The sequence below is a fragment of the Homo sapiens genome, chromosome 9 (assembly GCF_000001405.40).
Source record: "Homo sapiens chromosome 9, GRCh38.p14 Primary Assembly".
NCBI classification, from domain to species: Eukaryota; Metazoa; Chordata; class Mammalia; order Primates; family Hominidae; genus Homo; species Homo sapiens.
Window position 1 is genome coordinate 96,234,953 of NC_000009.12, and position 23,951 is coordinate 96,258,903.

The 23,951-nt window shown below is 45.3% G+C and overlaps 1 protein-coding gene, 2 long non-coding RNA genes and 1 pseudogene across 3 annotated transcripts in view, besides 1 other annotated feature; 1 reads left to right on the top strand and 3 right to left on the bottom strand.

The window, feature by feature from the left end:
- Positions 354 to 23,951, bottom strand: part of SLC35D2-HSD17B3 (SLC35D2-HSD17B3 readthrough) — a 148,406-nt gene continuing 124,808 nt past the window's right edge. Inside the window, exons 18-26 of the long non-coding RNA NR_182427.1 lie at positions 19,916 to 19,991; positions 17,851 to 17,958; positions 16,466 to 16,533; positions 14,799 to 14,834; positions 11,604 to 11,638; positions 10,393 to 10,474; positions 9,377 to 9,442; positions 5,806 to 5,955; positions 354 to 618 (exon numbers count right to left, since the gene is read on the bottom strand). This is a non-coding gene — a long non-coding RNA (SLC35D2-HSD17B3 readthrough). The remainder of the gene's footprint in view (positions 619 to 5,805; positions 5,956 to 9,376; positions 9,443 to 10,392; positions 10,475 to 11,603; positions 11,639 to 14,798; positions 14,835 to 16,465; positions 16,534 to 17,850; positions 17,959 to 19,915; positions 19,992 to 23,951) is intronic.
- HSD17B3 (hydroxysteroid 17-beta dehydrogenase 3) overlaps positions 354 to 23,951 on the bottom strand; it is a 66,871-nt gene continuing 43,273 nt past the window's right edge. The window contains exons 3-11 of the mRNA NM_000197.2: positions 19,916 to 19,991; positions 17,851 to 17,958; positions 16,466 to 16,533; positions 14,799 to 14,834; positions 11,604 to 11,638; positions 10,393 to 10,474; positions 9,377 to 9,442; positions 5,806 to 5,955; positions 354 to 618 (exon numbers count right to left, since the gene is read on the bottom strand). Of these exons, the coding sequence (NP_000188.1) occupies positions 508 to 618; positions 5,806 to 5,955; positions 9,377 to 9,442; positions 10,393 to 10,474; positions 11,604 to 11,638; positions 14,799 to 14,834; positions 16,466 to 16,533; positions 17,851 to 17,958; positions 19,916 to 19,991 (732 nt within the window). The 3' untranslated portion in view covers positions 354 to 507. The remainder of the gene's footprint in view (positions 619 to 5,805; positions 5,956 to 9,376; positions 9,443 to 10,392; positions 10,475 to 11,603; positions 11,639 to 14,798; positions 14,835 to 16,465; positions 16,534 to 17,850; positions 17,959 to 19,915; positions 19,992 to 23,951) is intronic.
- On the top strand, positions 11,511 to 15,309 carry HSD17B3-AS1 (HSD17B3 antisense RNA 1). Its single transcript, NR_146524.1, has 3 exons — positions 11,511 to 11,657; positions 12,271 to 12,383; positions 14,631 to 15,309. It is a non-coding gene; the product is annotated as an HSD17B3 antisense RNA 1 (long non-coding RNA).
- Positions 18,354 to 18,403: an enhancer, noted in NCBI's record as "active region_28651". NCBI's record gives its function as "activates an Ori minimal core promoter by ATAC-STARR-seq in GM12878 lymphoblastoid cells {active_cell/tissue: GM12878}" and the evidence as "EXISTENCE:reporter gene assay evidence [ECO:0000049][PMID:35858748]".
- On the bottom strand, positions 21,264 to 21,367 carry RNU6-1160P (RNA, U6 small nuclear 1160, pseudogene; annotated as a pseudogene).

The window sequence follows — 23,951 nt, forward strand, 5'->3', positions numbered from 1 at the left end:
CATGTGAATTGTGTATTTGGTGAAAGGCTGATCAAAGACTCAAAAGAATGCAACCGCTTGTCTCTTATCTGCCCATACCTTTGCAAAATTTCTTCCTCTTTCCCCAATATTCTCCCTTTAAATATTGAAGCCTTCAAAATCATCATTGGAGAAAGGCACAAACTTGCCTCCCAGGTGCACGTCCTTAACCTTGGCAAAATAAACTTTCTAAATGATTGAGATCTGTCTCAGACACTTTTGGGTTCACACCAATTTCCTGGGTCTTTCAGGAACCCTGTTTGAGAACAGGTGAGCACTTCAGGACAACAGCACAGATTGGCACCACAACTTTCCCAGAGATATTCAGACTCAAGTAAAGTGGCAAAAAATGTGTATTCTATGCCTCTGTGACCCCAGCCCCCTCCATCTTCAGCGGACTAGGTTGAAGTGCTGGTCTGCTCCTCTGGTCCTCTTCAGCCAGCATGGGACTGGTGAGGAAAAGGTTGTGCTGGACTCCTCACCGCCTGGCTACCTGACCTTGGTGTTGAGCTTCAGGTATGCCACATAGTGTGTCAGGAGCAGCCTTTGGAAGGCACCGCTGTAGAAGGCCCAGGCCGGGATCAGGCTCAGAAAGCCCGCCTTAAACAGAGAGAAGCATCAGTGTTGGGGAGGAAGGAATAACAAGTACCTCAGTTCATCTTTGTGGTCTTTAAAAATATTTTTTTCTGACTACTAAAGTGGAGCCCCAGAACCTTTTATGTAATTGATAAAGTTTAAGGGTCTTGTGACACTTTCTCAGCTCACAAGGTTTTCTCAGACGCCAAAGTAGCCAGTCCTTTTAAACTCCTTTGGACGACCTAGTACAATCAGCCCTAAGGATTTTTTTTTCTTTGAGACAAGGTCTTGCTCTGTCACCCAGGCTGGAGTGCAGTGGCACGATCACGACTTACTGCAGCCTCAACCTCCTGGGCTCAAGGGATCCTCCCACTTCAGCCTCTTGAGTAGCTGGTACCATAAGAGTGTGTCACCATGCCTGGCTAATTTTTTCTTTTTTTTTTTTCAGAGACAGAGTCTCACTATGTTGCCCAGGCTGTTCTCAAACTCCCGGACTTAAGTGATCCTCCTGCTTTGGCCTCCCAAAGTGTTGGGATTACAGGTGTGAGCCACCATGCCCGGTCTGGAAATTCTAAATGAAGAGAACTCTGTGTTAACCACCTCCCTGACTTACTTTTTCTCTTAGTGAGTATGTCCCCACTTGTCTTCAAGTCCTTTCTACCAAGCTTCTGTTAAAATGAGGATCCTGGGCCAGGCATGGTGGCTCACACCTGTAATCTCAGCACTTTGGGAGGCTAAGGCAGGTGGATCACTTGAGGTCAGGAGTTTGAGACCAGCCTGGCCAACATGGTGAAACCCCGTCTCTACTAAAAAGACAAAAATTAGCCAGACATGGTGGCGCATGCCTGTAGTCTCAGCTACTCGGGAGGCTGAGGCAGGAGAATCACTTGAACCCAGGAGGTAGAGGTTGCATTGAGCTGAGATCACAGCATTGCACTCCAGCCTGGGTGACAGAGCGAGAGTCTGTCATAAATAAATAAATAAATAAATAAATAAATAAATAAATAAAATGAGGATCCAGGAGAGAATCAGAAAGGCTTTCCATCATTTGGCACAACTCCAAGGCATAGTGGGCGCTAAGGAAATACGTGAAGCCTGGATGAATGGAAGTCAGTCACAGAAAGGTATAGATTATCAACATGCAGCACTTGCTTTTCAAAGAGGGGGAAGCCTTCAGTTCAATGTATTTCAGGCTGTAGGTACGGGCCTTGAAAGATTCCTTGCCACCAAATTGCAACTGTGTCTTGCACAGTTCTGGGGTCCAGGACCCCAGAAGCAATCATTTCATAATGATTCACAGCATAACTTTATTAATCCAACATGCCTCAATCCACCTATTCCCTACAGAACAACAGGATTCCAACCAGAGGAAAACTTGAGCTTTTAGGGGAGCTATTCATGTTTTGTCAGCCAGCTCAGATCCTCAGATCTCTGCATTCCTCTGAGATATTTGAAGACAAGGGACTAATGACAGCTTCTGGGAGCCAAAGCTGACCTCTCCTCCCACTAGCCACGTCGCTGAATCAACACAACTTCTTCCTCAAGAACTTCATTTTTCTCTCCGAGCTTTCTTATCTCACAGCAAAGTCAAGCCCTTTCAGTAGCTCTGTCTTGAACTAAATGTTTTGCCATAGTGAGGTCAGCCATAAAGAAAATAAGCAAAATAAATTACAATTCCAGCCCCCTTTAAAAAGTCCTAAAAGAGTCCCTCTTCCATCTCCATCTTTGTCTACCCCTTCCCAGCCTGGAAGGGCCATGTAGGAGCCAGAAAAGGCTGTGGCCCCAGACAAAAGCAGACTTAAATTCTAGCTTCACCATTACCAGCTGGGTGGCCATGGGCCAGCTGTTGCAGCTCTGAGCTTTGTTTTCCTCCATTGTAAAAGGGTGACTCTAAGTCCTATCTCACAAGATTATTAGGACAACTAAGTGAGGCAACATGCATGAAGCCTCCAAGCACGACAGGGTCTCTGTAGGTAGGGGCTCCATTCCTGCCTCGGTCCCAGCCCCATGCTCCCTGTGGGTGGAGGGCGTGCTATCTTTGCCTGGCCTCTTGGTAATAAAAGGGTCGCTTATTTACCATTTGATGATACATGGTTGCCTCTCTCTTTAGATACAATGATCTTTCTAAATCCTGGCAAACTCGAAATTGGCTTTAATGATTAACGTATTTTCATTTATTTTCTCTCCTATTTCACCAGGCACAAAAACTCCTTTTCCTGGTCTGTTCTTGGCAACTGTTTGCCTGAAGAAATTAGAATCTGTTATCTAAGAAATTAAAAGGAAAGGTCAAGAAAATATTCAGGCCGGGCACAGTGGCTCACACCTGTAATCCTAGCACTTTGGGAGGCCAAAGCGGGAGGATAGCTGGAGCCCAGGAGTTCAAGACCAGTCTGGGCAACAAAGTGAGCCCCAGTCTCTACCAAAAAAAAAATTAAAACATTAGCTGGATGTAGTGGCATGTGCCTATAGTCCCAGCTACTGCGGAGGCTGAGGTGGGAGGAAATCTTGAGCCCAGGAGTTCAAAGAGGCTGCGGTGAGTTGTGATCCTGCACTGCACTCCAGCCTGGGCAACATGGCTATGTCAAAATTAAATAAAATATTCAACTTTGACCCTGTGTCAAGATAAAATAAAATTTTATTCCATTTTTATAAAAATAAAATGTTTATTTTTCTACAAGGAAACATTTTTCAGATGCTGATGAGTTCTGTTTAAGCCATCAGCATCCTGGAGGACTAAGGTCACAGTGTCCTCCTGAAGGTGGAAGGGATGCCATCCCCACTGGAGAGGGCTAAGCTGTGACACCGAGAAAGTGCACAAGAAATCTGTAGTTTTGGCTGGGTGTGGTGGCTCACGCCTGTAATCCCAGCACTTTGGGAGGTCAAGGCAGGCAGATCACCTGAGGCCAAGAGTTGGAGACCAACCTGGCCAACATGGTGAAACCCTGTCTCCACTAAAAATACAAAAATTAGCCAGTTGTGGCAGAGAGCACCTGTAATCCCAGCTACTCAGAAGGCTGAGGCAGGAGAATCGCTGGAACCTGGGAGGTGGAGGCGGCAGTGAGCCAAGATCGCACCACTGCACTCCAGCCCGGGCAACAGCGAGACTCCATCTCAAAAAAAAAAGATCTGTAATTTTTCTTTCCTGGAGATAGTGGGAAGTGGGAGGAGAGAAAGAGAAAGGCGTGGTCAGAAGTGTGTCCTCTGTCGGGTGTGAGCTCTGGCCTAGGCTGGGGGCTGAAGGATAAGGCCTGGCGCATGAAGGATGGAGAAGTGTGATTCATGAGTAAGGGTGGCACTGAGGGCAAAGAAGGGGCCATGGCCCCCACTCCTCTGCAGTCCAACCACAGGAAATTATCTCAGCATGGTGAGACAGGTGCTGAGATTTGGTTTTTCCAGCTTCCTTCAGGTCCACGTTGGTGCTGATGTAGAGATAGCAGCCAGAGGTCTATGTGGATCAAAGCTGCAGATGGACCTTGGGCCTGTAGCTGGAGGGGGATGTGGCAGAGTACAGCAGTCTGCTGCCCTCAGTAGCTGGGGAGACCTTATCAGGGTATCCACTGGCCAAGTCAAAAGGACAGAAAGGTTCATCTCCCTCATCCTTGACAGACATAAACTTCAGCAAGGTGAACAGCCACCCAGGACACCAGCCCACACACATGGAAGGACCGTCATGGACCACAGGGCATCCTCTCCCAGCGCCACCTAGTGAGAGGGGCAGGAAGAAGGGAGCCTCCAGGGAAGGATGAACATTTCTCCCTAAATAACAGACTAAGAGTACATTTCCTAAATGGCCAGTTGAGATGACTAGATCAAACTCAGTTTAGACTCATTGGACATTCGATGAATTTTCCTGCAGCAAGTGGTGATCTGGAAAAAGACCAGATCAGCAACAGAAAAAATAAAGACTTTATATCCTCTCTGCATGTCTGCTTTGTAGTGTGAGTTACATTGGTGATTATGCACATTGTTGAGGTTCTACATAAAAATAGCAAGTAATTGAGAAAGTTCAATATCTCTTGCCAGAGTCTTTAAGTCCCAGCAGATAAAGGAATGCTTTGGTAGACTTTAGCGCATGGAGCCATGAATCCTTCTACCATCCATGAAAGACAGAGAGAGATCCAATTCCTGCAGTAGAAAAGCCAATGAGACAGAGGAGGAAATTGGCAGATGATGGGTAAGTGAGGAAACCCCATCTAACTTTCTTTGGTGGGACTGGAGTCAGAGCTATGCCAATGTTATGTTTGCTTCAGTATTAGTGAGCAATACTCAAGTCTACCTTTGTTTCATGTTTGTGTTTGTTTTTAAAAGCAGTCCAGGAGTGGTAAGAGCCTCTTCTGCCATATGCTGGATCTGTGGCATGCTGGAGCTGGCTTGCACTCACTCATAAGAGCCCACTGCGATCATTCTCAGCAAACTAACACAGACACAGAAAACCAAACACCACATGTTCTCACTCATAAGTGGGAGTTGAACAATGAGAACACATGGACACAGGGAGGGGAACATCACACACCGGGGCCTGTCGGGGGGTGGGGGGCAAGGGGAGAGAGAGCATTAGGACAAATACCTAGTGCAAGCAGGGCTTAAAACCTAGATGACGGGTTGATAGGTGCAGCAAACCACCATGGCACATGTATACCTATGTAACAAACCTGCACGTTTTGCACATGCATCCTGGAACTTAAAGTAAAATAAAAATGAAAACTAAAAAAAGAGCCCTCTGTGCACCATGCACTCCTCAATTCATGCACACAGCGTCATGTCCGTGGCTTAAACTCAGCCATGCTGGAAGTATTTATACCGTGGAAGTCAAATGCTACACATCAAAGTGGTTTGTGCTTGTTTTGTTTTTTTGCCTGGAGGGCTGATAGCTAAACATTGACTGGAATAGAGGGTCAAGAGAAGACAGCAGCCCCCACGTGGAAGCGCCATATATCTTGGTCTTCCCTGCCCAACAGCTCCTGGGAGCCACCTTACTTTCTGAGGGGAGGAGGGAGGCAGCCAAGAATGAGACTTGCCAACTTCGGGGTTATCTAGTGGCTGAGCTCCCAGGCTCCGGCTTCTCTCCACCTCGCCACATAGTCCTTGTACCTGGCTATATTAACGCATCAATGAGTGCTCCAGCAGCAAGGAAGAGCTAGCCCAGCCCTGCCAGGGCCACCTGCGTGTCCTCCCTCCCTGGCTTCAAGAAAAGGAGAAGTTATCAATTACCAAGATTTCATGGGCAAGGCAGCCACAGGTTTCACCTCCAATTGTGACATAATTCAATGACTCTTTGACAAACTCATCAGCAGTCTTGGTTATCACATTTGTATTTAGATACTTTGTCATTGCAGTCGAGACAGCATATGGGGTCAGCACCTACAACGGGAAACAAAGACCATGGCACAGAAGCAATCCACCCCAGGAAGAAGACTCAGAAATTAACACTCAAGCCCCCATCCCACCATTTCCCGACCCTTCTCTTCCTAGGCAAAGTTTTAAGATCTTGAGTGGAAAAAGGCACAGTACCGGCACAGAGCTGGGAATCAGAAATTTGGTTTCTCAAGATGAGAACCTACCTAGCCAACATCAAGTGGCCCAAATGCCCTGCCCAACACACAGTGTGAATGGGAAGAACTCGGGTCTCTCTCTCAGAACCAAGTTGCAAGACAGCAAATAAAAATACAGGATGTCCAGTTAAATTTGAAGTTCAGACAAACAATGAAAACCACTTCAGCACAATCGTATCCCAAGTATTGCATGGGACATACTTATACTGAAAACTATTCATAGGCATCTGAAATTCAAATTTAACTGGAGGTCCTGTATTTAATCTGGCAACTCTATCTCAGAAGTTTGTTTCTAATACATATAACCAAAGTTGGAGCAACTGAAAGCACTCTGGATTCCCACTTTCACACTTCAGTTAGGAACCAAGAGTAGCACATACCTCATAACCTCTTCCTGTTGTGGTAAGAAAAACAATCACACATTGTGCCCTAAAAACCCAACACCATGTTTCCACCTGTGGGCTAACCACATTGTGGCCTGGCATGGGGATTCATAATGGGGTTTTATTACCTTATTCCCAGAACAAAGGGTTTGGCATCTTTAGAAAGAAAAAAGGCTGGCATGGTGACTCATGCCTGTAATCCCAGCATGTTGGGAGGCCAAGGCAGGACGATTGCTTGAGCCCAGGAGTGCGAGACCAGCCTGAGCAACATGGCAAAACCTCATCTCCATTAAAAATAGAAAAATTAGTCAGGCACGGTGGCACATGCCTGTAGTCCTAGCTACTTAGGAGGCTGAGGCAGGAGGATCCACTGAACCTGGAAGGCAGAGGTTACAGTGAGCCAAGATCGTGCCACTACACTCCAGCCTAGGCTACATCAGAGTGAAACCCTGTCAAAAAAAAAAAAAGAAAAGAACAGAAAAAGAAAGAAAGAAAGAAAGAAAGAAAGAAAGAAAGAAAGAAAGAGAAAGAAAAGAAAGAAAAGAAAAAGTAAAAAAAAAAATCCACAAAAGTTTTCTAGGTTTTATTTTTCTTCACATCACATTTGGAATTACATTATTTCATAATTGAACCCAATTATGAATCAATTAATCCAAATGAGCAGGTTCCTATGGAAATTAAAGCATGATTAATTTGTATAACACTTTTCTTCCAAGGATCTCAAAGTGTTACTCTTTGAGAAATATAAGGAGTGTGCTTTCTCCACCACAGTTTCCAGATAGGGAAGTAATGATAAGTATTTTCATTCTTAAGTGATTTTGGGTTGACAAAACACCTGTATGTACAAAATAGGGGCTCAATAAATATTGTTTAAACATATGTACTTATTTCTTCGTTAGATCTTTACTATAACCCAGAGATATAAGCAGGCATTATAAGCCCCTTTTTATGGATGGGAAAACTGAGGCTCACAGAGTTTAAACAAGCTGACCAGGATCACTCAGATGATAAGTGGTAGAGCTGTGATGAAATTCAAACCCAACTCCACAGTACATACTTCTTCATGCATTCAGCGAGTATTTATTCATTCAGCGAGTATTTATTGAGTGTGTGTTCGGAGAGGCCAATTGGTTTTTGAAAGATCACAGTCTTTTCACTTTCTCCTCCTTGCTAGAAGAGCACCTCCAAGTTCTCTGCATCAGGGAAGGGACAAGGGACTCCATTTCCCCACCCACATCTCCTCCTGACCCTCCTGCTCCATAGTACCCACTACCTCGGCAGCTGTGCCCCAAGGATCAAGACAAGATGCTGCTGAGGGTCACATGGCTAGGAAGCAGGTGGCTGCGATGATCATTCATGTTTAGAAATCACCAAGGATTCTTGGTTCCTTCTTCTTCCAGACACATGCATAATAGAATTGCACTTCCTGGCCCCCTGTGGCTGTGTAGGACCATGCAAGCAGAGTTGGCCAGTGATTTATGAACAGAGGTGACATGTGTCATCTCTGGGCCAGAGCATTTCATTGTCAAAGCAGGACCCACTAGAACTTCCCACTCCTTTTCCTCTGGCATGTCGGCTGCTCCGTCAGCCTGGGGCCCTGTGTCAGCACAGTGAGCCAATGTCTTCTGTGAACCCACAGTGGATGTGTCACGTGAATGCAAAATAGGACTTTGTTGTTTTAAGCCACTGAGATTTTAGGGGTTATTTTTTTACTGCAGCAAACTTAGCCCAGACAGAGTTGCAGCATTACAAAAGCGAAACTCCAGCTTCAGCTGGGAGTGGGAGCACGGAGACCCCAGCATGGAAGCAGGACCCTCTGATGGGTCAGACGGCTTCTGCATGGCAGAGAAAGGGACTGTGACCCGGTGGCAAGGCTGTTACAACCACTCACTATGGCTCAGAGATGATATTATTGGCCAAATTCCTACCATTAACTCATATCTGCCTACTTAATAAGCTTTACCCTGTAGCTGGTTAGTTTATAGGAACAGCTGCCTAAAATACTCTCACTGGATATTTTAATTGAAAATCAGTGTGCGCAGCAATAATTTCCAAGATATAATTTTGAGTGTGCCTTTCTCCATTTCTAATAGTATATCGTAAAACTTCTTCCCACACAACAATAACAAAACAAAACAAAAACTCTGTTTATTCTACGTTCCAGAAACTATCTAACTCTAACTCTGTTGCTGAACCAAGCACAAATAAATCACTGACACTTTAGGAATCACATTGCTCAGCCTGCAGCAGGCAGTGACAGCCCAGCTCTGCCTAGGTGAGGACAGGTCATCTCCACGATGACCTGTGGAAGGGAAGCAGAGTGCCTCCTCCTCACCTGCTCGAGAACCAGAGTGTGGGGACCTCTGTGGCCCATCACAGAAGGTCCCCTCCCCTGGTGACTAGCCCCTCCCCTCATTCAAACTCGGATCAAGTGCCCAGTTTTGTTTTGTTTGCTTCTTCTCCAGAATTCCTCCCACATAAGCCTGTGTTCTGTACCAGGGTCAGAGAGGAAAAGCCACAACCAACCCGAATGTCTGCTCTGATGAAGCATCAGGTAGCAAGAAGGTCCACAGCATTTCTGAGCAGCCACTCCCCTCTCCTATTTCCTCCTCCAGCACCCAGGGCACGGGGGAGGGCAACAGAAGCCACAGCAGCAGGTGGGACTGAGGCGCCCCAAAAGCCCACGTGGCATCCCCAGCTCATCTTCCTGTTGACCACACATGAGCAGCCAGACCCACAGGAGGCAGTGGCCCCAGCCACGGGAGGTCCAGAGTAACCCTTCTCAAGGACTCACAGCCGCCCACCTCACCTGGATGATGACAAGGACTCCACAGCTGCCCACCTCACCTGGATGATGACTTCTTTTGCTTTATATTCCTCTTGCAGGGCCTTGGAAAATGCGCACACAAACGCCTGGAGCAAGAAGGAGAGACACCTGAGGCCCCAGAGTGAGCTCCCTCGTCAGAGCCAACTTCCTCTGACTTCAAGGGGCACTGCAGACACACTACCTGCTAGACCTTAAAATAGAGTGGGGAGCTCTGGGTACGGAGGGTACGGAGTTTCAGCTGCACAGGGTGAATATGTTCTAGAGATCTACTATACAGCATGGTGACAAAAGCTAACAATCATAGACAACATACCTGAAAATTACTAAGCAAGTAGATCTCAGGGGTCCTCACCACAAAAAAAAAACCGGTAAGTATGTGAGGTCATGGATATGTTAATTCGCTTGACTTGATCGTTTCACAACATATACATATATTAAAATATCACCTTGCATACTATAAATAGACACAATTTTTATTTGTCAAGTACGCCTTAATAAAGCTGGAGAGTGGGGCAGAAAGAGGGTAAGGGAAAAAATGAACCAGCTTGCCTTGATGGGAGTTAGCACTTCATCCCCCGGTCTGGGAAGAGGACCTCCCACTCAGCAGGAAAATCTGTTTTGGGATAAATCCATCCCTAGGGCCCCTGCATAGATTAACCTCCCTTGTACAGCGCCCCCTCCTCCTCAGGCTGTTTTTATGACTAGGGCATGGGGACACCAGGCTAGATCTCCCAGTCTGGAAGGAAGCTACAGTGTCACTTGTCAGCAGGAAGATGGCAAGGGCTCCCAGAGGAGGTGAGTGGGGCAGGCATCCCCGGAGGCTGGCCAAGTTGTGCACCGCAGGGCTTCGTGTGCCCAGAGCAGGTGCTTTATTCTAATTTTCTCTTGGACTTCCCAGTGAGTAGCTCAGCCCTGCACATAAGAGAGCATCTCCAGGTAAACCTTTCCATCAACTTGCCAGATGATCAAAGGAAATTGCCAACTGGGAGAAATAAGAGGAAGAAGGAAGAGACTTGGAAGTCATGACATCACTCACCTTGGAAGCTGAGTACATGGAGTAGAGAGGCCAAGGAAACAGGGCTATCCCAGAAGAAATGTTCAGGATGAGACCTTTCTGCCTGAAAGGCAAAGAAGCAAAGTTCCCATGGCTTTGTTGCCCTACCTGACCTTGAGTACAAAGAAAACAAAGGGTCCCGTGTGAACACTGCCGGACTCGACCCTTTCTAGGCTTCCGCAAGTGCTAGGGGCTCTGCTTCTAGGAATGGTAAGTGAACTTCCCCTACCTTCCCCTGGAGGGCGCCACACAGAGATGTCTGGATTTCCGCCGCACAGTGATGCCACCTGGCAGTCATGTGACATCATATAATGTGAGGGGCTTGCTCTTGGAAACAGGCTGTGCTACAACTGAGGTCTCTCCACCAAAATACTGATAACCAGCTCAGCTCAGGATTTAAGGGGAGAGAATCCTTCTCCCTTAAATGTGACCACATGAGCTGCCGGTCCCTTTGGACTCAGGACCCACAGCTGGACAGATGTCACATGGTGGAATATTGTCTTGGATAGAATTTCACAGTACAGGACCTGCTCACACAGATACCCTATGCAAGTCTCCAGGAGCCTTACTTGTCCTTTTGAAATTTAATATTCTTAATCCTTCCCAATTAGACGGATACAATGGAGGGGCAGGGGACAAGAAACTGCAAATTAGAATCCAAGGCCAAGCCCCTTCTTCCTCTAGGGAAGATAAGCTATCAAGCATTTGCTTTTAATGAACACACCTGAGAAAAACCAACTCCCAAATGGGCATTGGAATAGGGTGACATAAATATGGAATAAGTGGAGGAGCTGACAGGGCAGTGATTTTCACAATAAATTGGAGTATTCTCTCTGACAAAAGCTGAAATTCCTAACAAAGAGATGGTCTTGATCTCGGGCCAACTTCTGAAGTTTTCTTTTACACTCAACATTAGTTAATTTTTCTTTAATCCAGTGTGTGCTGAAACTGCCGTTCTCTTCCTCCCTCCAATGTGTGTTACGTTTGACCTTCACATGAGCTTGTCTGTCTGCAGAGCTGGCCTGGCCCAGAACGTTATGTTTTTTTTCCCATAATCACCGTGTGCTTTCATCATAGCTGTTATCGTTTGTTAAAGCACAGCCAGATGGACTCTGTGTCCCCAGTCCCTGAGTTAGCTGACCGCCAGGGCAGGGAGGCCATGTTGCTCCACACTTTTTTGAAGAAGGCCTTACCTTGATTCCATATGTTTCAGAATTAGCTGTGTCATCTACAAGAGAAGGCCAAAGGTAAGCCCGACAAGGAACTAAGTAGCAGTGCAAGGGGGCGGGATGGAAACAGGGAAGGGAGCGCGGGAGGAAGCTGGGAAAGAGCCTCATCTTCTCAGACGGCCTTGAAAATTGCTGGCACTCATTGGAGGTCACTCTGGCCACATTAGAGTCTGCCTGGAACCCACAGGAGCCAACCTAGACAAATGACAGGCTGCTCTGGGGCCTCTGATTTCTTCCCCCTAAAGCTAATGTCTTCCTGGAAAATGAGGGCAGTGAAAAATTGGGGGAATTGGCTTACAGCTGTGGGACCAACACTGAGGTTCCCATGATACTCTTCATTCTGTGGGACAGGCAAAAGTGGACTGGCCATGAGTTGGAATTGGGGAACTATGGGGAAACCTAACAAGACTCTGTAGAGAGAAGGACACCTCTTTGATTCAACAGCAACCGCTTACGCAGCCTGCAGCTAGGCTATGAAATAGCTCCGTGGACACAGTGCATGGCCACTCCTGTGTATTGGAATTACAAGAGCCTTGAGAGGCCCCTTCCCCCTCCCAGCCTAGAGACCCCTGAAAAGGTCTTCTCTGCCATTTCAGGAGCCTAAAAGAACTTTTTGTTTCAAAATTACAAGGTACACATTTTACAAATGAAGGAAGAGGCAACCCCATGGACTGAAATGTTCTCTGAAGTAGAATTGACCGCAATCAGGCCTGGCAGGCCTGGAGCAGATCCTGACTGCAGCAGGTTTGAGACAAGGGACCCAAGTGAAAGGAGAGGGGTGGAGACATCAAGGCACCTGGGGACCGGAAGACACAGGCTGCCCATTTCTCCATGCTGTCCAGGGGCCCTGCAGCAGCTCCTCAGAGGTGCCCACTCCCAGGCCAGGCCCCAGCCTGTCTCAGAGCCTCCAGGGAATGTCTTCGCTGCTGGGGGGCCAGGGGGCCAGGGCAGTGGAGGGGGTGGGGCTCTCTAGAACCACTGGGCTGCCTCTGCAACACTGGATTTTGGGGAAGAAGAGGGAGGATGAGGGGCGAGATAGTGTCAGACCGCTTTCCGTGAATGACTTCATAGGGATATTATATGAGCCTTGTCAGCCAGCACCCACATTGCCTCGAAGCCTCCCGAATGAACTCACTAGCCCTGTTGGCTGAATGATCCCAATGAGAGAGACAACACTGAATCTCGTGGGTCCCCGCCTCAAGGCTTCCAATGTTCAGTTTCTTATTCCACCTTCCCTTTGCCCTCAAATGCATATTCTCCCATCCCTGCCCCGAAAGAGAACTCGACTATCTCCAGACGGCTTCTTTAAAATAGTGCAGCTTCACTAGTCATGCTTCTAACCAGCATGGTTCACTGGGGCGTGGTATACTTAGAAGCTAAACTTCAATTTATTTTATTTCATACTTAGGGAACTTAGTGTTTATCAATATATAATTTTTTTAAACAAATCAAAGCATTTCTCTGCTAAAGGAGTCAGAGGGTTGTCAAGTGCATTTGGGAAATACCTATGATCAAACAGCCCAAGACTAAAAGGTCAGTTGTAAAATAACGTGAAAGACTTTAGTGGTAAGGCTGCAGATGACAGTTAGACATATAAAACTCATAATTACATCAGCTGGGGGCTCCAAAAAGCCATCAATTGCTAAGCACAAAAAGATGTGTGTACCCAATAGCAACTGAGCAAGAAACCATAAAATACCAGCATGCTTATAGAAAAACAACCAAATAGTTATTGTCCGCCCAACTTATTCACCTGAAAAGAAAAAATTTTTTGTCTACTCTGCCTCCATTTCCCCTCCTTATCTTAACAGCAACCTGGCTTTCTTTGGGAAATCTGTCCTCCCCTACTTCCAGTCCATGTTGTTCAGATGGGTGAGACTGAGCCTTCTGCTAGTCTCCAACCAGGGTCCCAGCTCCTTGAAATCAGGAATCAGACTTTACTTATCACTGCAGTCCTACTGACCTTCCAGAGTGGTCATCAAGGCTGCCATATACAGCTGTGAATGTTGTGTACTGAGCAAGGTGTGGGGTTAGTGCAGGTGGGAAGCTCAGAGCTCACTCACAAGCCACGTGTCCTAGTAGAGGAAGAGGGCTTTATCCCCAGAGGAAGGGGGAACACGTCATTCACACAAAATCCTCATCTACTCACCAAGTCACACAGCCTCAAGCTGTGTCCATTCTTAAACAGTACCTTTCTCTAAATTGTCTACATAGGATAGCTTTGAGGGACTCATGCTATACATCTTTGTGCAGCTGACCCTCACCAAAGAACTTGAATGCTGAATGGTGCCTAAGACATCTCTTGATCCACAGCCATTTTTTTTTTTTTTTGGAGACAGAGACTTTCTCTGTCGCCCAGGCTCGACTGCAGTGACACAGTCTCAGCTCACTGCAACCTCTGCCTGCCTGGTTCAGGCGATTCTCCTGCCTCAGCCTCCTGAGTAGCTGGGATTACAGGTGCCTGCCACCATGCCCGGCTAATTTTTGTATTTTTTAGTAGAGACAGGGTTTCACCATGTTGGACAGGACGGTCTCCAACTCCTGACCTCAGGTGATCTACCTCGGCCTCCCAAAGTGCTGGGATTACAGGCATGAGCCACCACGCCCAGCCAATCCACAGCCTTTTAATAGCAGATGCAGAACGTTAAGTTCAAGGAGGCTACATAACTTGTCCAATGCTGTCCAACTAATTAGTAGCTGTGCTGGGACCAGAACACAGATGAATTTGAGCTTTGATTTAACAAATATTTATTGAACAACAAAAGTCCAGAAAATCCAAGCCACGCCCTCCGTCAGTTTTCCAGAGTGAGCTTTCCTCTATCTACAAAGCCTAAAATTAGAGGAAGATACTAATTTTTTTTAGAATTGCCTTGGAATCCTGAATACGTTTCAGCATCATCGAGCTTAGTATGTTCCAACGTGTGACAAAACTGAAAGCAGAAATAGAATTCAGATACAAGGGAGAGTTGAATCCATTACTGTATTTTCTAGATGAAAAACAGAACAAGACAATTACAAGACCACGACATGGCCTCTCAACTAAGTGTGGTTCGATTTCAAAGAATCCTGCTTCTACAGTGGATGGGCACAATTCTCCTGAGTTGCCAAATTTCAAGTTACTACATGTTAATGCATTTCGCACATATATTGATCACATACCTTGACTACGGAGGTGATGTTACAATGGATGAGGCTCTGTAATAAATAATCACAACCACACATCAGCCGGATGATTAGAGAAATTCTCCTGGAAAGTAGTTGGTGCTAAAGAACCATGAAGTGGGCAAAAGTGCATGTCTGAACGGTTTCATCACTCACCCTGCAAATTAGGCTCATAACTGCCTTCCAGCAAGCATGTACTAGCATCAAGAAACATCTGACTCCCATTCTGTCATTCTGTACCCACGTCATCTTGACTAGACATCAATTAAGAGTTTCCTGGAAAACTCGGAACTATATTCCTGGAGGAATATAAATACGGTTTTTCAAAGGGAGCTACTCCATTCTCAGCTGGAGGAAGAGGGGTTAGCCTATGTGAGTCCAGGAGAACAGAAAGACAAATGGTTGTATAATATAAGGTAGAGGTTCTGGGCTATGGAGGGCAGGTAAAGAAACCACTAGAATGACCAAAGATAAAGAGAAAGGACAAGAGGACGGACACAGACACTAGCACAAACACAGACACACACAGGCAGAGGAGCAACCCTGGAACTTGCTTCTTGAAGAGACGTAGATTTGTGCCAGAAACAGAGTGTGGGAGACAGAGCCCACACAGGAGATGTGTGGTCCAGAGAGGAGTTCAGGAGTTTGGTGAGGATGTGCAGCAGCGCCCAAGCAGTCTGGCATTATCACCCGGTGCAGCAGACTCGGGGCTTACACAGGACGATGGGATACCTGCAGAAGTGGGGAATGGAAGCATGAGAGCCTGTTCAGATTGGTGTAGCCCTAATGACTCCAAAGGTCAGGGCCTAAGAAAGGGTCAACAAATTGTGCCTTCAAAAACTGTTAAATGCGGCCGGGCGCAGTGGTTCACGCCTGTCATCCCAGCACTTTGGGAGGCCGAGCCAGGTGGATTACCTGAGGTCAGGCGTTCGAGACCAGCCTGACCAACATAGTGAAACCCCCGTCTCTACTAAAAATACAAAAATTAGCTGGGCGTGGTGGCAGGCGCCTGCAGTCCCAGCTACTCAGGAGGCTGAGGCAGGAGAATCGCTTGAACCCGGGAGGCAGAGGTTGCAGTGAGCCGAGATCATGTTACCGCACACCAGCCTGGGCGACAGAGGGAGACTCCATCTCAAAAAAAAAAAAAAAGAACTGTTAAATCCATTAAAAATGTACTCCCAACCAACAATGGCAGTCATGGGTCTGAGCCAAGTTTACTGAACTTACAATCCTGCCAGCCATAGAGTTTGTGTCATATACTTCCCTCACACTGAAAGTTACACAAATCTTAGTACCTGGGAAGACAGAGAAAGCCAAAGAGCTGGTCTTCTCCCATATATGTTCACAGCTGCGAATGTGTTAGGCAGAATTACCCTTTATAAAGTAGAGTGCAGCACCCCAGAAGCATAGGACAATGGACAGGTAAGTTTTGATGTGCAGAGAAGGAGGAAGATGTCCATATCCTAGAGATATCGTGAAAAGTGGTACTCTTGACTGTGGATCGAGTGCTAAGGTGAAGAGGAAAGGGGGCCTCAATACATACAGTCCAGGATTTCGGCCAGATGCATGCTTCCATCACGCCTTCCCAGGCCTGACTCATTACCCAGCCAGGGGACCCAGAACCTGGATAAGAGGAATCTATACACAGAAGAGCACAAGTCTACCTGGATTTCATCCGGTGCGTTCAGGAAATGGCTTGGGAGAAGGTTTGGAAGCATTCCGACATTGTTGACTGGCAGAAAGAAGCAAAACAAAAATGTGTCAGAAGATCAGGTGGGAGATTTTCCCAAAGAACCATGTACAAAAAGATTGACATGTAAGGTTGTTCATCGCAGCATGATTTGGTAACGGTGAGGAAACTGGGGGGAAGTTTTTGTCCAGTAATAGGAGACACCTTCAATGAATCATGGGGTTGTCATATGTTGGAATGCAGTGTAGTCATTAAAAACTATGGCTGGGCTGCTTACATGGGAGAACATGCATGATGTAAGTTTTTTAAAAATATATGACAAAACAGCACATACGTATAATTCCAGTTTTGAAAATATGTGTGTTTAGGATTAGAAAAATGTGCACCAAAATGCTACCTCAGAATATTGGGATTTTAAGAGATTCATATTTATTTTATTAGCCTGTCTATTCTTTCCAATTTTTCTGCAATGATATGCTGTACACTTTCATATGTAAAAATGTAATTATTTTTAAAATTCAGCAGAAGGTTTAGAAATCCAATTTGACTTTCTTCTATATATACCATAAACACTGCACTGTGCACGCGGCCGTAAAGTATCTTGTCTATAAATCATTACAGAAATAAATATTATCTTGTTTTCTGAATAAGAAAGAGAGTCAATTCTCAACTATACTATTTCATGGATCAATCACAGCAATGTTTGTTTGCTAAACTAATTCCTTTAGGCCAATGTTTCTGGGATTCTTTTTCTGCCAAATGTCAACGTCAGTTCCATAAAAGAAAATTCATTTTAATATTAGAAAATATAGTTGGTCCGGCCGGGTGCAGTGGCTCACACCTGTAATCCCAACACTTTGGGAGGCCGAGGCAGGTGGATCACGAGGTCAGGAGTTTGAGACCAGCCTGGCCAATATGGTGAAACCCCATCTCTACTAAAAATACAAAAATTAGCTGGGCATGGTAGCAGGCGCCTGTAGTCCCAGCTGCTTGGGAGACTGAGGCAGGAGAATCACTTGAACCTGGCAGAAAGAGGTTGCAGTGAGCCGGGATCACACCACTGCACTCCAGCCTGGGTGACAGAGCGAGACTGCATCTCAAAAAAAAAAAAAAAAGAAAAGAAAATATAGTTGGGGGTTGAAATATGTATGTTTGATACATTCCAAACCAATATATAAATTTTTTTATTCAGTAATGCCTCTAGAAGAAGTGTGCTTTGATATTCAACTTAATGGGACAGCTTAAAATACAGTCATGGTTTGAGTATAAATCACCATGAAATAATCAAATGTCACTCATCAGTGTCAGGTTATTTCACTGATGTATGACAACAAGCTTTGCATCTTGCAATTTACTCACCTAAAATTCCAATTTCTAAGCCTGCAAGTTTTTCTTTAATATGCTCGTAGATGTCATCTTTTGTAAAATCTGCTTGTATAATCTTCACACTCCTCCCTGTAGTCCGCTCTACACGAGAGACAACAGTTTTTTTAATGAACAGGGATCCAAATGCCCCCTCGCCCATGAAGTTTCCCCCAGTGCTCCTGTATTACCTGAGCAGACATTGAAGAGGACAGCCCATTGCCCCAAATAAAAATGGGACATGGTTCTGGGTAAATGTTGGGAGGTGCTAAGATTGGTGAATGGTGGTTCCTACGTGTCTCTAAGAGTTACTGCAGGGACACGTATATGCATTAAGATAGATTTACTGCAGCGGTTCTCAAAGTGGAGTCCACAAACCACAGCATCAGGGTTACAGGGAAACTTGCCAGAAATGCAAATTCTCGGGCTCTACCCCAGACCTATTGCATCAGAAACTCTGTGGGTGGAGCCCAGCCAGCCACCTGCTTAACACACCTCCGAGGGACTCTGCTGCTTGCTCAAGTTCGAGACCCCAGACTGACAGCTGTAAAAGCAAGGTCTGACACTGCCTCTGCTCACAAGTGTCAAGTCTCCTCCACACAGACCCAACAACTCTTTGTATTTGTCCAATGCTTTAGCATTCACAGAGCATTTACATACACAATGTCTTATGGTCATTGTCCCTACAACCTTCTAAAGTAGGCATTATGACTTTCATTTTCCAGAGGAGAAAATGAAGGCTCAGAGAAGCTAACTGACGTAGCCAAGACCATCCACTCTCTGGTCACTCCACGTTCAATGCGCTCCCCACTACTCTGTGTTAACTTGCCTTCTGCGGGAGTTTTCCGTCAGATGTGAAAGCTACAGAGTTTACCAGTGGCTTGGTGAGCTGCTTTGCTTTGGAGTGGGCCAAGCAATCTTGAGGCATAGTTTGGGGGTGGACAATGCTTTCAGTCCAAAGACACTACTTGCTTTTCAAAAGGATGATAAAAAGCACATTTCAGCATTGTGAGGCAAACACTGAAGAATGTCTCGGTCCTAGTCAAAGTTACTTCTGATATCCAGACACAGAACAAAAGCAGAATTCATGGGTTCAAGGGCACTGTGCTTCACAGTGTGACTGCACAGCCCACACCTCCCACACCCATCTCCTGTCCCAAATCTCCCCCAGGGAAACAAGGCTCACCCCTGACAGCCCACCATAGTCTTCACAAGTCTCCATAACTAAAGTCTCATCCCTTTGAGTTAAAGAGTTTGTTAATTATTAAATTGATAATTATTAAAATTCAAAGGTCCCAAAAGAAATATGATTATCACTATTAACAAAAGAACACTTCAGAGCAAATCATCATAATAAAACATTATGATATAAAAGTTGCCTCAGGGTTGTACAGTGTACAACCTCCACATCCTTACATGATGATCCTGGATCAAAACTGTTTATAAAATCTGACAAACACCAGTAAGCATTGTCCCTCATCCTCCTGCCAACAGCAGAGCACAGACATGGGGAAGGGAAGTCCCAAACACCGATCTTGCTTTTGAAGGGAGTGGCAGAAGCAACCAGGCAGCCTGCTGGCTCAAGGATATGCTGTACACTTTCATATGTAAAAATGTAATTATTTTTAAAATTCAGCAATTAGTTAATTCAGGAATTAGTTTAGCAAACAAACATTGCTGTGATTGATCCATGAAATAGTATAGTTAGTTGAGAATTGACTCTCTTTCTTATTCAGAAAACAGTGTATCATTGCACAAAAATTGGAAAGCCCGCTCAAGGTTGAGCAGGGCTGATGTAGCAATGAAGGAACCCACCCAAAGGAGAGAGCAGACCTATTTGTGCCTCAGTTAGTTCCTGCTTCCCCCAGCCCACAGAGCCAGTGTGCACTAAAGCTGACACCTTCTATCCCGCCCTCTGCTTTGTAACCGGGCTCCCCAGGAGAGCTGGTGCCCCAGGCTCTGAGAGCAGATGTGGGGATGCCAAGTACATCAACTGGCATGGTGGGAGCAGGCTTGGTTGGAGGGCTCCACACACATCTCCCTTATTTGGGGGGTCACTCACCGATCTCTGTGGCAATGGCCTCTAGTTTTTCCAGCGTCCGGCTAATAAGGACAACATTGAGTCCACGTTTTGCTAGCTGAGAGTGGGAGTGAAAAACCAAGAGACAAGGATGATGAGCAGACAGGGAGGGCTTGTGTTAAGGTGACTTGGTCCTGAGACTGTGCACATACTGGCAGGGTGACATGGTTGCTTCACCTGGGTTTAAGTGTGCAGAATGTGACAAAGCTTTCTGGGCTAGGAACAACACAACCCCAATGGGCCAGGCTAACTAGTAGGGCCATCATGATAGGAGTTAACACTTATTGTGTGTTTATTGTGTGCGGGGAACTTTTCTAAGTGCTTTCCTTGTCCAGGCCCACAAACTGAAAGTGCTTCTCTGAAATTCATGGGCTCAGCTATGCATCAGAATTTAAAATACTGGGGACTTTATACTATATCTTATGTAGCAGGGGGTGGGGCAGCATCCCATAATAAAAGCAGTGTTTCTGCCCCAACATTTCTTTTTTTTTTTTTTTTTTTTTTTTTTTTTTTTTTTTTTTTGCAATAGAGTCTTGCTCTGTTGCCCAGGCTGGAGTGCAATGGTGTAATCTCGGCCCACTGCAACCTCCACCTCCAGGGTTCAAGCAATTCTCCTGCCTCAGCCTCCCAAGTAGCTGGGATTACAGGCATGCGCCGCCAAGCCCGGCTAATTTTTGTATTTTTAGTGGAGACAGGGTTTCCCCGTGTTGGCCAGGCTGGTCTCCAACTCCTGACCGCATGTGATCCGTCCGCCTCAGCCTCCCAAAGTGCTGGGATTTCAGGCCTGAGCCACCATGCCCGGCCATCTGCCCCGACTTGTGAGCTGCTTCCTATGCACAAGTACATCCTTCTGTGGTTCACTCGACCTGAGACCTTTCTTCCTGTTTTCTGAGTCCCAACAGAAGAGAAAACGGGACGGGGAGCACAGGGTAGAGAGCTGGACGCGTCCCCTGAGATCAGCAGGGCGGCCCTGCAGAGTGGATAATGCCTGGACTCCAGAGGGCTGCGTGAAGGGGTGGGGAGCTGCGTGCTTCACACAGAGCAGTCAGAGAGATTCCGCGGGGGACACGTAAACGTGGAGCGCTGGGGGGTCACAGGCCGCTGGAGATGTGTCTGTACCTAAAACTGCTACCAGTGAGAAAAGTTAGAGTTTTTCCTGAAAGACGAAAGGAAAAACCAACATTCGTTTAAACAGAGACGGATGACATTTGAATTAGTGACAAAGGCCCCACTTTATTGAAATCTGTCTCTGTGGTTTCAGTCAAATGATTCATACTGTTATTTTCTTTAATTGTGGTAAAATACACATAACAAAATCTACCACCTTAACAAAAATGTGGAATACTTTACAAATTTCTGTGTCATCCTTGGGAACTCATGCTAATGTTCTCTGTATGGTTCCAATTTTAGTATATGTGTTGCAGAAACAAGCACTACACTGTTATTTTAAAAAGTTACGTATTATAGGCTGGGCACGGTGGCTCACACCTGTAATCTCAGCACTCTGGGAGGCCAAGGCAGGCAGACCACTTGAGGTCAGGAGTTCAAGACCAGCCTGGCCAACATGGTGAAACCCTGTCTCTACTAAAAACACAAAAAATAAAAAATAAAAATAAACAAATAAATAAATAAATAAATAACTGAGCGTGATGGCACACGCCTGTGATCCTAGCTACTTGGGAGGCTGAGGCAGGAGAATCGCTTGAACCCAGGAGGTGGAGGTTGCAGTGAGCTGAGATCGTGCCACTGTACTCCAGCCTGGGTGACAGAGCAAGACTCTGTCTCAAAAAAAAGAATTACATATTATAGAAAACACATAAGAAGCTGAATTATGAATTGTGGTCTATAATATATAGTCTCCAATAGCCAGCAATTCACTATGGCCCACGGTCTCAGAATCACCCAAGGAGAGGTCAAAAAAAAAAAACACTGATTCCCACCAAACCGTCTGATATGGTTTGGATCTCATGTCAAATTGTAATCCCCAATGTTGGAGGTGGGGCCTGATGGGAGGTGATTGGATCGTGGGGGCCATTTCTTATGGATTAACACCATCCCCCAGGTGCTGTCGTGGTAAGAGTGAGTCATCTCCGGATCTGGTGGTTTAGGAGTGTGTGGCACCTCCCCCTTCTCTTCCTGCTGCTCCAGGCATGAGAAGTGCTCGCTCCCTCTTTGCCTTCCGCCACGTTTGTAAGTTTCCTGAGGCCTCCGAAGCCGAGCAAATGCCAGCATCATCCTTCCTGTACAAGCCTGCAGAACTGTGAGCCAATTAAACCTCTTTTCTTTATAAATTACCCAATCTCAGGTATTTCTTTATTGCAGTGCAAGAACGAAATAATACACCATCCCGATAAAAATCTCTGGGGTGGCAGCCTCAGGATTTTCATCTTTTTCTATTTGTATTTATTAAATTATACTATTATATGCACAAATACATCCTCATTGTAGAAGATTCCAACAATGTCAAGGAAACAAATGTCTCCAAGTCTGCCCCCCTGCCCATTTCCCCGCCCACCCCTAGGCTCCCACCACCTTTAGTTTGTTGTTGAGCCTTCTCTAACTATCTCTGCATTTACGGGCATATATAGGCACATATAGAAATAAAGGTTTGTTTTGTGGGTTTTATTTATTTTTATCCTATATAAATGACATTATAAGCAGTGTCCTGCAATATTCTTTTTAACTTAATGACGTATTTTATCTCTAAGAATCATATCTATTTCCATAGCAGTCCACGAAGAACCACTTCATTCTTTTCTATTGCTCCATGGTATTCTAGAGTTGACCTTTGAATGAGCACTTAGGGTGTTTTCAAGTTTTCCTATTACCACTCTTGCTACAGTGCAAGCCCTTCTACATAGCTCTTAGTATATATGAGTAAACTAATTCCTATATACTGTATAGGATTATGTGGGACTACAGATGCGTGCCATCATGCCCGGCTAATTCTTTATTTTTTGTAGAAATGAGGTCTCACTATGTTGGCCAGGCTGGTCTTGAACTCCTGGGCTCAAATAATCTTCCTGCCTCGGCCTCCCAAAGTGCCAGGATTACAGGGGTGAGCCACCCCACCCGGCCCCTTTATTGCTATCCAATTATCTAATTATCAGTGGGGCTGAGCATCATTTGCTATGTTATGTGTGAATTACCAGTACATACCCCTTGCCCATTCTTCTATGGAGTAACTTATCATTTTCTTATCAATTTGTAGAAGTTGTATATATCCCAGCTATTGATTATTTGCCTGCCATGTACATAGCAAGTATTTTCTACTTTGTTTCTGGTGCCCTTGTCATACATTATATACTACTTGTAATATTATCAAATTTGTGAATGTTTTCTTTGTTTTATATGTTCTTTTTGATTTTCCTTACCTTCAAGGTAATTGTTTATTTCTGAGAATGGTATGAGGTTGAAATTATTCCACAATATGTTTTTCAAATTGGGTGCCTAATTGTCTCAACAACATTCTCCACTTTGTCCATTAATTCCTAATTTAAAATGTTGACTTAGTCATTTGCTCAATTCTCATGTGTGCCTGAGACTGTTTCTGGTCTATCAGTACTGTTCCACTGACCTATTTATCAATCTCCACGCCAGGGCCACTTCTGATTTAATCATAATCTTATATTAGCCTTTGATAACTTTCCAATATTTGCATATTTTTGGCCTCATTATCTTAGCTGACCCCTCCTATACAATGTTAAGGAAGCCCCTACCATTTATTATTCTCTTTCAAAATTTTATTTCATCTTGTTTAATCTTCCAAATAAATGAGAAAATCATCTAGACAAGTATTGAGGTAGGGATATTTAGGGAAAAATTTATATCTTTGCAGGAATCAGTTGTCTTACCCGTAAGTATATTATAGTATCCATTTTTTTTCAAATCTCATATAGTCTTCTAAACATTTAGAAGTTTTTTCATGTAAATCCTGGACATTTCTTGTTAGGTTTGTGTTAATTAGGGTAACATTAGTTGCTGTAACAAATAACTCTGCAATTTCAGCAGTTTAACA